This window comes from Homo sapiens, chromosome 5 (assembly GCF_000001405.40).
Source record: "Homo sapiens chromosome 5, GRCh38.p14 Primary Assembly".
Classification (NCBI taxonomy): Eukaryota; Metazoa; Chordata; class Mammalia; order Primates; family Hominidae; genus Homo; species Homo sapiens.
The window spans coordinates 17,119,822-17,134,039 of NC_000005.10; the positions used below are offsets into that span (position 1 = coordinate 17,119,822).

General features: G+C 45.0%; 1 long non-coding RNA gene across 1 annotated transcript in view; it reads right to left on the bottom strand.

The window, feature by feature from the left end:
- Positions 1–10,206: 10,206 nt before the first annotated feature.
- The window catches only part of BASP1-AS1 (BASP1 antisense RNA 1), an 87,395-nt gene continuing 83,383 nt past the window's right edge, over positions 10,207–14,218 (bottom strand). Inside the window, exon 3 of the long non-coding RNA NR_027253.1 lies at positions 10,207–12,079. This is a non-coding gene — a long non-coding RNA (BASP1 antisense RNA 1). The remainder of the gene's footprint in view (positions 12,080–14,218) is intronic.

Consider the following 14,218-nt stretch of genomic DNA (forward strand, 5'->3'; position numbering starts at 1 on the left):
GGTGACAGAGCGAGCCTCCATCCCCCCCCCGAAAAAAAAAAAAGTCACTCTTGTTATGATTATTCCTGCCTTTGAATTGATGGAAAGGAAATGGTTTGGTGTCCAACTCTCAAACACTCTAGCTGTGAACGTATGGGCCTAAACTTGTCCTGTGTGAAAGACGTGTAAATCATTTGGTGTCTGTTCCTTACATCTTGGCAAAGGTTATCTCCTAGGCTCTGTGCAGTGGGGTCTGATATGTGGAAGAGGAGGTAGGGGGAAGAGAGGAGGGTAGAGGAGCCCCAGGCAGGAAGCGGTGGGGGGGTGGGGGCTGCTGGGAAGCCTCCCCTCCAGAAGAGCCAGCGGCCTGGTGAGGCACAGCCCAGCCTCAGGTGTGAGTGTCTTGGATGGTGAGGAATAGAGTGTAGCTGGACCAGGATGCAGGATGGATGAGGCTGCCAGGGTCACCGGAGAGAGGCAGTCATATAGCTTAAGCTTTTGTTGGCTGCACTTTAGTTAACTAAACAACCAGGGGAGCATGGATTTCATGCCAATTAGCAAATATTCCCATGCTGGTTTTTCACCCTGTGAAATTATTAACATCAGGTGTAACCGTTGTGGCTCACTGGAACCCAGTCACCTCTTTTGATGAGAGGATTTTTGTTTTCTTGCCCTTATCTAACATTCACATACTCAGTGTCAACTATCAACTAACATTAACATTGACCTTGGAGGCCAGTGAAGTCAGAGATGAAGACCGAAACTGAGGTTACACATGCTCTTGGTTTCACCATCTGCAGAAATATCAGGAGAAATAATAGGGGTATTCATCCCAATGGACAGCCAGGCCTCTCCTAGCACCTTCTGTTTGCCTCGCCTTATGCCCCCAGCACTCTGCTTGGTCCTACAGCTCTGCCTACTGTGGCCACTAGCAACAGAGATGATCACAGCAGCCCTCGGTGTGCTCACCGTGCGCCAGACACTGCGCTAAGTGCCGAATGCGTGTCAGGTCATGCAATTCTCCAAACTCTAAGGTCCTTTTTGTCATATTATTTATATTTTACAAATGAGTACACTGATGGACAGGTTAAAATGGCCCAGGGTCACACTCTGTTAAATAGCACAAAAGAGACACGAGATTGGAGAAATGATGCCTAACAAGACAGATTCCGTCTTTGCCCTCCCCACAGCAGAAAAGGAGTTGCTCATATTTGACTGTGGTGTGAGACTCAGTCAGATGGGGTTTAGACTAGAGGCAGAGAGTCGAGAAGAAACCCTTTAGTAATGGGGTGAGGAATGATGGATCCCTGAACTAAGGTGATAGCAAAGAGAATGGAGAGAAGGTGGATTTGAAAGTGAGTAAACACTTTGGGAGGCCAAGGCGGTGGATCACCTGAGGTCAGGAGTTTGAGACCAGCCTGGCCAACATGGTGAAACCCTGTCTCTACTAAAAATACAAAAATTAGGCCGGGCACGGTGGCTCACGCCTGTAATCCCAGCACTTTGGGAGGCCGAGGCTGGTGAATCACGAGGTCAAGAGATCGAGAACATCCTGGCTAACACGGTGAAACCCCGTCTCTACTAAAAACACAAAAAATTAGCTGGGCATGGTGGCAGATGCCTGTAGTCCCAGCTACTTGGGAGGCTGAGGCAGGAGAATGGCGTGAACCCGGGAGACGGAGCTTGCGGTGGGCCGAGATAGCACCACTGCACTCCAGCCTGGGTGACAGAGTGAAACTCCGTCTCCAAATAAATAAATAAATAAATAAATAAATAAATATTAGCTGGGCGTGGTGGTGGGTACCTGTAATCCCAGCTACTCGGGAGGCTGAGGCAGGAGAACTGCTTGAACCTGGGAGGCAGAGGTTGCAGTAAGCTGTCACGCCATTGTACTCCAGCCTGGGCAACAGAGTGACTCTCTGTCTCAAAAAAAAACCAAAAACCAAAAAACAGTCAGTAAAGAAGTGGGGCTCATAGACATAGTGACTAACCAGAAGTCAGGGATTCGGGCCTGGGCTCCTGGGCTGGGAGTGAGAGGGTTCTGGCCTGTTCCTTCCCTTGGCAAATGGCACCACCCTTTCCTGCAGCCCTCCTGTATCTTGTGTTTATACCTGGAAGTGTGGCTTTAGCCAGTGGAGCCAGAAGTCTGGTAAATGTCTGTGAAACACAGAAGAGCCGAGGTAGCCCTGAGTCGTGGATGCCATTGGTGCCTTACCCAGACTGTCTTTGCTGGGGGCCCCTGTCTCAGCTGCTGGGTCATTTGAGAGGCCTTTTCTGGAAAAATGTTCTTGACTCACAGGAGCCCCCCTGCCTGGAGACAGCTGAGTAGGTACCTCAGGATGCCCCCATTTACCCCACCACATACACACTGGGGACTGGCCAGTCAACTAGCAGATACGGAGCCAGAAAGACTGGGATCCCTTACTTCAAGGCCAGGTAGCTCTGTGGTTTGATTGATTGCACTGTCACCTCCTCCCTGTCCGTGGACCAGGCTATGACAGGGCTTTCCCAGAGATCACATCCTGCTTCCCGGCTTCCTCATCCTGGTCACCCTTCTCTCACTCCCTCTTAGGGGCTGAATTATGTCTTCTGCCCCCAGTTCATATGCTGAAGGCCTAACCCCCAGTACCTCAAAATGTGACCGTATTAGCAGATGGGACCTTTTAAGAGGTCACTAAGTCAAAATGAGGCTGTTAGGATGGGCCATAACTCAATGTGACTGGTGTCCCTATAAGAAGAGGAAATGTGGACACACAGGCCAGAGATGCTCACGCACAGAGGAAAGACCATGTGAGGATGCAGTGAGAAGGGGGCTGTCTACAAGCCAAGGAGAGAGGCCTCAGGAGAAACCAAACCTACTGACAGGCTGATCTTGAACATCTACCCTGTAGAACTGTGAGAAAATTAACTCCTTTTTTATTTTATTTATTTATTTATTTATTTAGAGACAGAGTCTTGCTCTGTTGCCCAGGCTGGAGTGCAGTGGCGGTATCTCGGCTCACTGCAAGCTCTGCCTCCTGGGTTCATGCCAGTCTCAGCCTCCCAAGTAGCTGGGACTACAGGCGCCTGCCGCCACTCCCGGCTAATTTTTTTTTTTTTTTTTTTGTAGAGACAGGGTTTCACCGTGTTAGCCAGGATGGCCTCTATCTCCTGATCTCGTGATCCGCCCACCTCAGCCTCCCAAAGTGCTGGGATTACAGGCTTGAGCCACCACGCTCAGCCGAGAAAATTAACTTCTGCTGTTGAAGCCTCTTTTAGTCTGTGGCAACCCTAGCAAATTAGCAGACTCCCTCACATGTTTTTCCTGAAGCGCATTCCTTCAATAAGCCAAAAGCACCAGGATCCTGGTCTCACACGCTGCTTCTAGGGAACTTGACCAAAGACACAAAGGCACTATGGAAACAATGTTCAGATTGTATTCCAAGTGTGCCAGCTCTTTGCTGATTATTTCATTAACTTGTTAGTAGAGAGTTAAGACCCAGGCAGCAGAGAGGCTCCCAAGGGCTTCCAAGGACAGTGTGTTCTGTGGACAGTCCAGGCTTTAGAAGCGGGGGAGTCCCCAAGTTTCATCTGGGAATGGAGCCTCCCTCTTTTCCCCAGTCATTTGGCCTTCTACATCTTAAAGAAGTCTATGTTAAAATAAGTTATAATGTACGCATAAATTAATTTGTTGCTGGTTAAAATCAGAAAGACATTCAATCTTGATAAAAAATAATTTCAATCTATCAGAACATGAACTTCTTTTTTTTTTTTTCCTGTTGGCAAATGCTTTTGATTTGTTTGTACCTTTTGGCTACATACATAGCAGATAAATAAAGGGGCAAAGTGGGTTAGAAAAATCTCAGGACTGGGAATTGAGAGGCCCAGGATCAAGTTCTGCTGTATAAGTCTGTTTTCACACTGCTATAAAGATACTACCTGAGACTGGGTAATGTTTAAAAAAAAGAGGTTTAATTGACTCACAGTTCCACATGGCTGGGGAGGCCTCAGGAAACTTACAATCATGGCAGAAGGCTAAGGGGAAGCAAGGCATGTGTTATCACGGCAGCAGGAGAGAAAGAGAGAGAGTGAAGGGGGAAGTGCCACACTTTTAAACCATCAGACCTCATGAGAACTCACTATCACGAGAACAGCAAGGGGGATGTCCGCCCTCATGATCCAGTCACCTCCCACCAGGCCCCTCCCCTGACACATGGGGATTACAATTCAACATGAGATTTGGGTGGGGACACAGAGCCCAACCACATCATCTGCTTCAACCAGTTGTCTGATTTTAGACCTTCTATTATTCTTGGCTTGGCTTCAGGTTTTTTAAAACAACTCTCCCTTTCCACAAAAACAAAAACACAAAAACAAACAAAAAACCACACACAAAAAAAGGAGTCCAAAATGCTCTCCAAATCTTATTTCCTTCTAAGGTTCTAATTATTCCGACAATCCTGGATATTTCAGTCAAAGGTGTTCCAGCTTCTCGGGTTGCTCCAATCAGAACCTTCTCACCTCTCTGCAGTTTGCAGGTGGATCTCAACCCACCCTTTGTGCCAGTTTTCATTAGTAAACTTCAACACCCTTTACCTCTCTGTCCTCAATTCCCCCAGTAGGCTCTGCATGTCAAATAAACCTCTCCAAATAGATTTGGAGTCTGGCTCCGTAGCATTTATTGAAAACCCATTATGTCCTGTTTACTTATTCTGCAATCGGAGCCTGCACATTTCTGATACACTAATGGGAAAGTTCTGGCCAAAGAGGAGGCGATTGTTCTGGCTCTGTCCTGTCCCGTGATATCAAACGTTCATCTGTGGAACGCATCTGAAACCTTTTGTCCTCTAGTGGCTACAGTGGTTAACCTTGAGAGAGAGAGAGAGACAGAGAATGTGTGTTGTGTTGGGGGAGGGTTTTTGGCAGGGGAAGGCATTGATTTTATTAGCTTAGGACAACTTACGCTGTGTATTCAAGGAACTGTCAAAATCCCAAAAGTGTACTGTCTAGTGTATAGTTTTCTTTCCCTTTCTTTCTTTCTTTCTTTCTTTCTTTCTTTCTTTCTTTCTTTCTTTCTTTCTTTCTTTCTTTCTCTCTCTCTCTCTCTTTCTTCCTTCCTTCCTTCCTCTTCCTTCCTTCCTTTGTTCCTTCGTTCCTTCCTTCCTTTCTCCTTCCTTCCTTCTTTTCTTTCTTTCTTTCCTCTCTTTGTTTTTTTGAGACGGAGTCTCCCGCTGTCGCCTGGGCTGGAGTGCAATGGTGTGATCTCGGCTCACTGCAACCTCCGCCTCCTGGATTCAAGTGATTCTCCTGCCTCAGCCTCCTGAGGAGCTGGGACTATAGGCGTGTGCTACCACACTCAGCTATTTTTTTGTATTTTTAGTAGAGACGGGGTTTTACTATGTTGGCCAGACTGGTCTCAAACTCCTGACCTTGTGATCCACCCGCCTCGGCCTCCCAAAGTGCTGGTATTACAGGCGTGAGCCACTGAGCCCGGCCAGTTTATTTTCTTAGGCCTCTGCTGACAGTGAACTGACCGATACCATGAAGTTCCTGAAATATTGCAAGAAAGAAGTCTTCTCATCTTTTCCTGGCACAGCAGATTCTTTATACCTCTCTAAAAGCTGCCCAGGGATTCCCATTCAAAGCCTCTTGAGATGGAAAAGATGCACTGATTTTTTTTTTTGAGACAGAGTCTCGCTCTGTCACCCAGGCTGGAGTGCAGTGGCATGATCTCAGCTCACTGCAACCTCTGCCTCCCGGGTTCAAGCGATTCTCCTGTCTCAGCCTCCTGAGTAGCTGGGATTACAGGTGCCCACGACCACACCTGGCTAATTTTTATGTTTTCAGTAGAGACGGGTTTCACCATGTTGGCCAGGATGGTCTTGATCTCTTGACCTCATGATTCACCTGTCTCGGCCTCCCGAAGTGCTGGGATTACAGGTGTGAGCCACTGCACCCGGCGATTTTTTTTTTTATGCACATGACACTGGAGAAATCAGAGAGAATTTTCCAGAAGTAGGGACTTCTTGCCAGAGATCAATAACCCCTAAAAGGTAAATTCTTTGAGGATACATCCATGCCTTATTTATTTTTGTATTACTGCAATATTGGACCATGCCTGATACATAGCAAGTCTTGAATAAATAACAGGATGAGTAATGAAATGTGGCGCTAAGACTCAAACTCTGGTTTGTCCAGTGAACAGAGCAATATTAATCTGGCATCTCACAACAGGTAGTAGGTTAATCGTTTGTTCCCCCGGAAGACACAAACTTGGTGCATCTTATTTGTAACCAGCACGTAGACAGCCCCAGGCACAGAATTGGACAATAATAAACTGTCTGTTGGATAAATGTATCAATGAATGAATAAATGCATAGGATGTAAAACTTTCACCTCATTAAGTGAATATTAATGAATTGAAAAAGCAATGTGTGCACCTATGTTGTTAGACCCTACAAAATAACCTAACCAGATTCTTTTTCTTTTTTTTTTGTTTTGAGACTGAGTCTCACTGTGTCACCCAGGCTGGAGTGCAGTGGCACGATCTTGGCTCATTGCAATCTCCACCTCCTGGGTTCAAGCGATTCTCCTGCGTCAGCCTGCTGAGTAGCTGGGATTACATGCCGGGCTAATTTTTGTATTTTTTAGTAGAGACAGGGTTTCACCATGTTGGCCAGGCTGGTCTCAAACTCCTCACCTTGTGATCCGTCTGCCTCGGCCTCCCAAAGTGCTGAGATTACAGGCGTGAGCCACTGTGCCCGGTCCCAGATTTCGTTTTTAAAAAATCTATGAACTTCCTGGGGTGAAGAAGCAAATACCAACATCTCATCTGACTTTCATTCTGCCACTGAATGGACCTCACAACCCTGACTCCACAGTCAACAGGAAGATAATTTGCCACCCACCTCCTGGAACCATAGCTGTTCCTCTAGAAATGAAGATGGATTCACAGATACGATTACACGTAGGTGAAGTTCTGGAACAGGTAAAACTAATTGATGGTGACAGAAATCGCAACAGTGGTTTCCTTCTTGGTAGAACTCATTGGAAAGGGGCACGAGGGAACTTTCTGGGGTGTTGAAACGTTGTTTAACTTAATTTGGGTGGTGGTTTACATATGTGTATACAATTGTCAAACCCCCTTGAATCACAAAGATCTCTACATTTCATAATATTTAAATTATACTTCAATTAAATTAGTGGACAGTGCTGAGATGAGCACGATAAAGCCCATTTCTTTCCAAACACACTTGTTCCCTGTTACATATTAATTTATGCCTGACCCAATGCCCAGTGAGCTCCCCTTCACAATGGCACCGATGTAGAGGGATGACAAATTCTCAGGTTGGTTTAGATTACAACAGTGGGCAGAATAAATGTTATTTCTCCAAAAAAAGTGATGGGCTTGGACCTTGCCTCAAGTTATGGACCTCAATCTTTCACAGACCTCAATCTCTCAGAAATCCAAGGCCCAGATGAATCACGGCATTTTTCCTAAGGCCACACAGTCAACCAGTAGTACAGCTGGGTCTAAAACTTAGACCAGCTCCCTTTCCCCTTCCCTACATTTAGTCTTTCTCCTCTCCTCTCCTCTCCTTTCTCTCTTTCTCTTTCTCTCTCTCTTTCTTTCTTTCTTCTCCCTCCCTCCCTCTCTTCCTTCCTTCTCTCTCTTTGTCTGTCTCTCTCTCTCTTTTAGATGAAGTCTTACTCTGTTGCCCAGGCTGGAGTGCAGTGGCACAATCTTGGTTCACTGCAACCTCTGTCTCCCGAGGTCAAGTGATTCTCTTGCCTCAACCTCCCAAGTAGCTGGGATTACAGGTGTGCACTGCCACGCCTGGCTAATTTTTGTATTTTTAGTAGAGACGGGGGTCTCAACATGCTGGCCAGGCTGGTCTCGAACTCTTGACCTCAAGTGATCTGCCTGCCTCGGCCTCCCAAAGTGCTGGGATTATAGGCGTGAGCCACTGTGCCAGGCCAAGTCCAGTTTTCTTTCCATCGTAGTATGTGGAGTAGAAAAGAGACTTCCCTCAGACCAACCTTTGTTCCCAACCTTGATCTATCAGGTATTACCTGTATGAACTCAAAATAATGTACGTACTGCCCCATGCCTCAGTCTCCACATCTATAAAATGGAGATACTGTGTTTACCTGTGGTTGAGACTAAATGAAATAAAGTCTGTCAATACCAGGTGCTTACTGACTGGCGGCCCCTTCTCCTTCTGGCCCTATTCATTGCTAATTCTCCTGCCCGGCCTCTTCCTTTGAATGCTTTTCATGACTAATTCTCCATATTTCCTCCCTATACTCAGCCCCTTGGTATGTTTATTCGCAAGGTTATAATACGATGAATCAGCTCTTTAAATAAATATTTTTCTTCGTGAGAATTAATAACCCTAAGTGTTTAAGGCGAGTTTTTAAAAATTCCCTAAGTCTCTTTTTCCCCATCCCCAGCAAACTCTTGATCCAATAAGAAAACAAACCTCATAAATAGGATAAACTGCAGCATATTGCAAAGAAACCGGATACTTTTTTTTTTTAAAGAAAATACGTGAAAAGGTAAAAAGACTTCAACTTCTCGTAGACTTTCTGTCATCTTTGGCAAATTATATTACTTTCCTGTGCCTATTTAAGAACCTCTCAAAATAAAAATGGCTGTTTCTCTTGCAAAGTTGTGAAACGAAGTAGAAATAATTAGTACTTTATCTAAATACATTTTAGGACATTTGAGGTCCTAGCATCAGACTCTCATCTGGTTCCTCAGATCACCCTGAGGACATTTCAATACTGAGGGTCTGAAATTTGAAGGGGACAAATGAGTGCTTTGCTGCTTGGACCAGTGACACATTCATTTTGTTGCCTTGTCCCATCAGAAACCCCTTCTCTTCTGCTGTGCACCACTATGTTTTTGCCTCTCTCCTGGTCAGTTCCAACGCTGGCAACAGCTCCTGAGAGAGTTGACCAGGCAACTATTAAGTACAAGTGGGCCGGGTGCAGTGGCTCATGCCTGTAATCCCAGCACTCTGGGAGGCTGAGGCAGGAGGATCACTTGAGCCCAGGAGTTTGAGACCAGCCTGGGAAACATAGCAAGACCCTGCTCTACAAAAAAATTTAAAAATTAGTTGGGCATCCTGGTGCACGCCTTTAGTCTCAGCTTCTCAGGAGGCTGAGGTGGGAGGATCACTTGAGCCCAGGAGTTGGAGGCTGCAGTGAGTTGAGATTGCACCACTGCCCTCCAGCCTGGGTGACAGAGAGAGACCCTGTCTCCAACAACAACAACAACAACAACAACAACAACAACAACAACAAAGTGATTGATATAGCCACTGCCTTCTCTTCTCACCATGCAAAGCCTAGACATTGCCAAGAAGTGCGTGGTCATGACGCAAGTCCAGCAAGCACTATGTCTGGCAGAGAAAGCCACCCAAGAGTCACCCCTCCTGTGACCCCTGAGAATCCTCAGTGTTGGCTGCTGTCATGGCTCTGACCCACAATGATCTGATTTGCTGAGTAAAGATGGGGCTTAGAGAACGTGCAGCATTCCGGCAGCAGGCACATCGATGGCTGCTGGTTTTTATTTCGTGATAGAGCCTACTGGCTCTTAGAAGGCCAACACTGCACACAGGAAGACACAAAACAAACACACTCATCAAATCCTTGCTAGTCAGGCTGAGCTGAAAAACAAACTTCGAATTTTCTCCCTTAAACGGGACTGAACTTGACTGGGGCACTTGAACGTTTCCTTGGAAATGTCAAACAGCAAAACTCCGTTCTTTCTGGGTACATCTTTTAAACTCTGTCCCTCCGGGGAAGACCTTGGAGATTTATGCTACTCATACACTTAGGCTTAAAAAAAAAAAATCACATCCTGTAGATTCTAGCTGAGGTTCTCAGTTTAGTCTTTAGCACAGTTTTTTCTTTAATCACATGGGAAGAGAATTTGGCTTAAGGGCTCCGTTTTTCCAGGAAGACACAATAATTATTGGGCTGTGCGTAGCACAAACTGAGTCTCGGGTTGAAGCTGGTATTGAGATGAGCTTTAGAAATTCTATATCCAACATAATTTTATATATTTGCTTTAGTTCGCATAGCAAGGAAATGGTATTTGGTAAGGAGTTCAGTTCACAGAGCCACGTGATGGCTGACTAGGGGGTCAAAGCTGGAGCTCCAGTTTTCCAGTTTGGTGTCTTTTGCACAGAGCACAGATTTTGTATTTTAAGCAATTGTGCCTTTTATTTTTATTTTTTTAGAGGCAGGGTCTCACTCTGTCACTCAGGCTGGACTACAGTGGTTTGATCATAGTTCACTGCAGCCTCCAGCTCCTGGGCTCAAGGGCTCTTCCTGCCTCAGCCTCCAAGAGTAGCTGGGATTACTGGCACTTGCCACCATGCTCGGCTAATTTTTTAAATTTTTTTGTAGAGATGGGGTCTGACTACGTTGCCCAGGCTGGTCTCAAACTCCTGGCCTCAAGTGATCTTCCCACCTGGGCCTCCTGTAAGTGCTAGTGTGTCCGGAGTTTGTTCCTTCCGGTGGGTTCTTGGTCTCCCTGACTTCAAGAATGAAGCCACGGACCCTCACGGTGAGTGTTACAGTTCTTAAAGATGGTGTGTCCAGAGTTTGTTCCTTCAGATGTTTAGATGTGTCTGGAGTTTCTTCCTTCCGGTGGGTTTGTGGTTTTGCTGACTACAGGAGTGAAGCCACAGACCTTCGCAGTGAGTGTTATAGCTCTTAAAGGTGGTGTGCCCGGAGTTGTTTGTTCCTCCCTGTGGGTTCGTGGTCTTGCTAACTTAAGGAATGAAGCCACAGACCCTCGTGGTGAGTGTTACAGCTCATAAAGGTAGTGCGGACCCAAAGAGTGAGCAGCAGCAAGATTTATCATGAAGAGTGAAGGAACAAAGCTTCCACAATGTGGAAAGGGACTCAAGCAGGTTGCCCCTGTTGGCTTGGGTGCCAGCTTTTTTTCCCTTATTTGGCCCTGCCTACATCCTGCTGATTGGTCCATTTTACAAAGCACTGATCAGTCCGTTTTACGGAGTGCTGATTGGTGCATTTACAAACCTTCAGCTAGACACAGAGCATTGATTGGTGCGTTTTTACAGAGTGCTGATTGGTGCGTTTACAAACCTTTAGCTAGACACAGAGCTGATTGGTGCATTTATAATCCTCTAGCTAGATAGAAAATTTCTCCAAGACCCCACCCCACTCGACCCAGGAAGTCCAACTGGCTTCACCTCTCACTAGGATTAGAGGTGTGAGCCACCATGCCTGGCCAGCAATTGTGCCTTTTAATCTGCTTTGCTTCCCTAATGCAGATCTTGGTCATGTTTCCTAGATGCCCATTTGACTGCCTTAACTCATGGCCAATAAAGTGGGGTCAGTGTTGAAAGCAAACCAGCAACTCCAATTGTTGCTGGCAGCAACTCCCTGCCCAGCTCTATCCTCCATCTGACTTTGCCTTTCTCCATCTCAGACTCTGGAGGCAGGAAGGCAGGGTAAGGCCAGAGATAGAAAAAGCATAGTTGCTGCTAGGGTAAATGTGGGGCAAGCACGGTTCATCGTAGTTCCCTTATAACAAAGGTAACAGTTGAGGATATTTATTGATTTGGTTCTCAATTGTATTCTCTAGATTAAAAAAATAAAAAGATTTGGTGAAAATCTCTTTCAGTTAGTTCTCTAGAAAACTTTTGGGTTTATGATGAGCAAAAAATAGGTACTTGGTTTCATTTGCACAGGCTTTGCCAAACTTTAATTGAATTCAGAGAGTTCTACAAATTGGGCAATGAATAATAATAATAATAAAAAAAGGCAGCTTCTGGCTTATTGTGGTATTCTGTTTAGCTCTATTAGCTGTCATTAGTAGTGAAGGAATAGAGGAATGGGACCTAACTTTATGGAGTGGCTTAGGTGGAGTTAGGGGAACACTGGGCAGGGTTGAGGACAAAGGAGGAGAATCCTGAAAACGAGCATGTTGCAAAGTCTACTTGCCCTTTAAGAGCTTCCTCTTCCACATTCCCGGAACCTGAGTTCAAAACTTTCTTTTCCTAAGACTTGAGGTTGCATCTCAGGAGGAATATGAGTCTTTCTTCCCAAACCTTTGCTTTATAATCAAATCGACTGAAACCTATAAATAAAGGTTAGTGTGGGTGGAGAGGGTACACTTAGGGAAATTCATTTTCTGGCATCACAGAATTATCTTAAATAATGTATAAGGAACCATTGGCTGTAGAGCTGTTATTGAACAATAACAGCAATATGCTCAGAGCACGATGCTGAGCTATATATGTTAATAACAAAGCTAACAAAAAGAAAGACGGCACTTGGTCCTATTTCATTTGCCAACTGGGAAATGAAATCATCAACATGCTTTATAAGTGGTTGGCTAGTTTTCATCATTTATATGTCAAATTTAAAAAAGGAAAACCGAGTTTTGAAGTATATTTTATAGACATTCTTCAGTAAATTTCACTTTTTACAAAACGGTATAGTTGGTCAGGCATGGTGGCTCACGCCTGTAATTCCAGCACTTTGAGAAGTTGAGGCGGGAGGATCACTTGAGTCCAGGAGTTCAAGACCAGCCTGGGCAATATAGTGACGTCTTCTCTAAAAAAAATAAAAAAATAAAAAATAAAAAGAAGCCAGATGTGGTGGTGCATGCCTGTAGTCCCAGCTACTCAGGAGGTTGAAGTGGGAGGATGGCTTGAGCCTGGGAGGTAGAGGTTGCAGTGAACTGTGATCATGCCACTGCACTCCAGCCTGGGTGACAGAGCAAGACCTTGTCTCAAAACAAAAAACTGTATAGTCAGTTAGTCAAATCTTGGTGTTTGCAGGGAGGGCTTGGTTTAAAACTCATTTTCCCTTGTAAGATATTTGCATATTCTAAATTAAAGATTACTCTGCTGCCTTTTTAGTACTAGGAAAAACAGAAGCCCTCTTGTGGTCAGATTAAAAAATACAAGCTGTGTTCCGTGAATCAGTTTCAGGGCTTAGTTTTAGCTAGACTAAGCCTCACTCAAACTGATTTTTACCAATGTTTTACCATTAGGAAAAATATAACACACATAAAAGAAGCAGTGTTTTAACATATACTCTGAAAGAATTGAGACTCTAAAAAGAAACAGATTAATTTTAACTGTAGCGGAAGCCGAATGACAATCACATCATATAGCTTTTGTAACTGTCCTCTTCCTGCTGTGACTTTATTGTGGGATTTTAAAATTAGGTGTGGCATCATAGTGTGATGATAATTACACAGCTTGGCTCGTTAAGGCCATAAAACATTGTGGATTTGAAAAGCAGTACACTCCTGTAGTTAGAACACAGGGGGCTGGGATCAGAACTGGTTTGGTTTGCACAAAATCAATTATTTCTCTCCTTGTGTCTCCTGCATTTACTTCTGGAGTTAAGAAATGGGTGTTTGGCCAACGCTTCTTTCTTCACTGGGCTCTGAGAAGCCTGTTCTTCGGTTTTCTACTCAAGCTGCTATCTGTAGGCCTGGCTTTGCTAAGCAACTCTTTCTTTTCCTAAAGATCTTTTGTTTTAGGGTATACTTTTCTGTTTTAAGGACATAATTATAGATTTGCAAGAAGTTGCAAAAAAAAAAAAAATGTACAGGGAGATCCAACATACCCGTCACCCAGCCTTGTCTGATGGTCATGTCCATATAACCAGACACATTATAGAAATTAGGAACCTGATATTGGTACAATCCATAGAGATTTAATTGCATTTACTAGCTTTACAAACACTCATTTGTGTGTGTGTGTGTGTGTGTATAAAGTTCTGTGCAATTTTGTCACATGTATACATTCATGTACCTGTAACTACAGTCAGATACAGAATTGTGGCCTGACACAGTAGCTCACATGTGTAATCCCAGCGCTGCAGGAGGCTGAGGCAGGAGGGTCGCTTGAGGCCAGGAGTTTGAGACCAGCCTGGGCAATATAGGGAGACCCTATCTCTACAAAAAAATTAAAAAACTAGTCAGGTGTGATGGCAGCACCTATAGTCCTAGCTGCTCAGGAGGCTAAGGCGGGAGGATCACTTGGGCCTGGGAGATCAAGGCTGCAGTGAGCCATGATCACGCACTCACGCCACTGCACTCCAGCCTGGGTGACAGAGCAAGACCCTGTCTCAGAAAAAGATACAGAATTGTGCCATTAGCCCAGGCTACCCCATTATGTCTACACCCAAGTTCTCTTCCTCCCACTCCTACCTGTGGCAGTCATGAATCTGTTTTCTATCGCTATAGTTCGGTTATTGT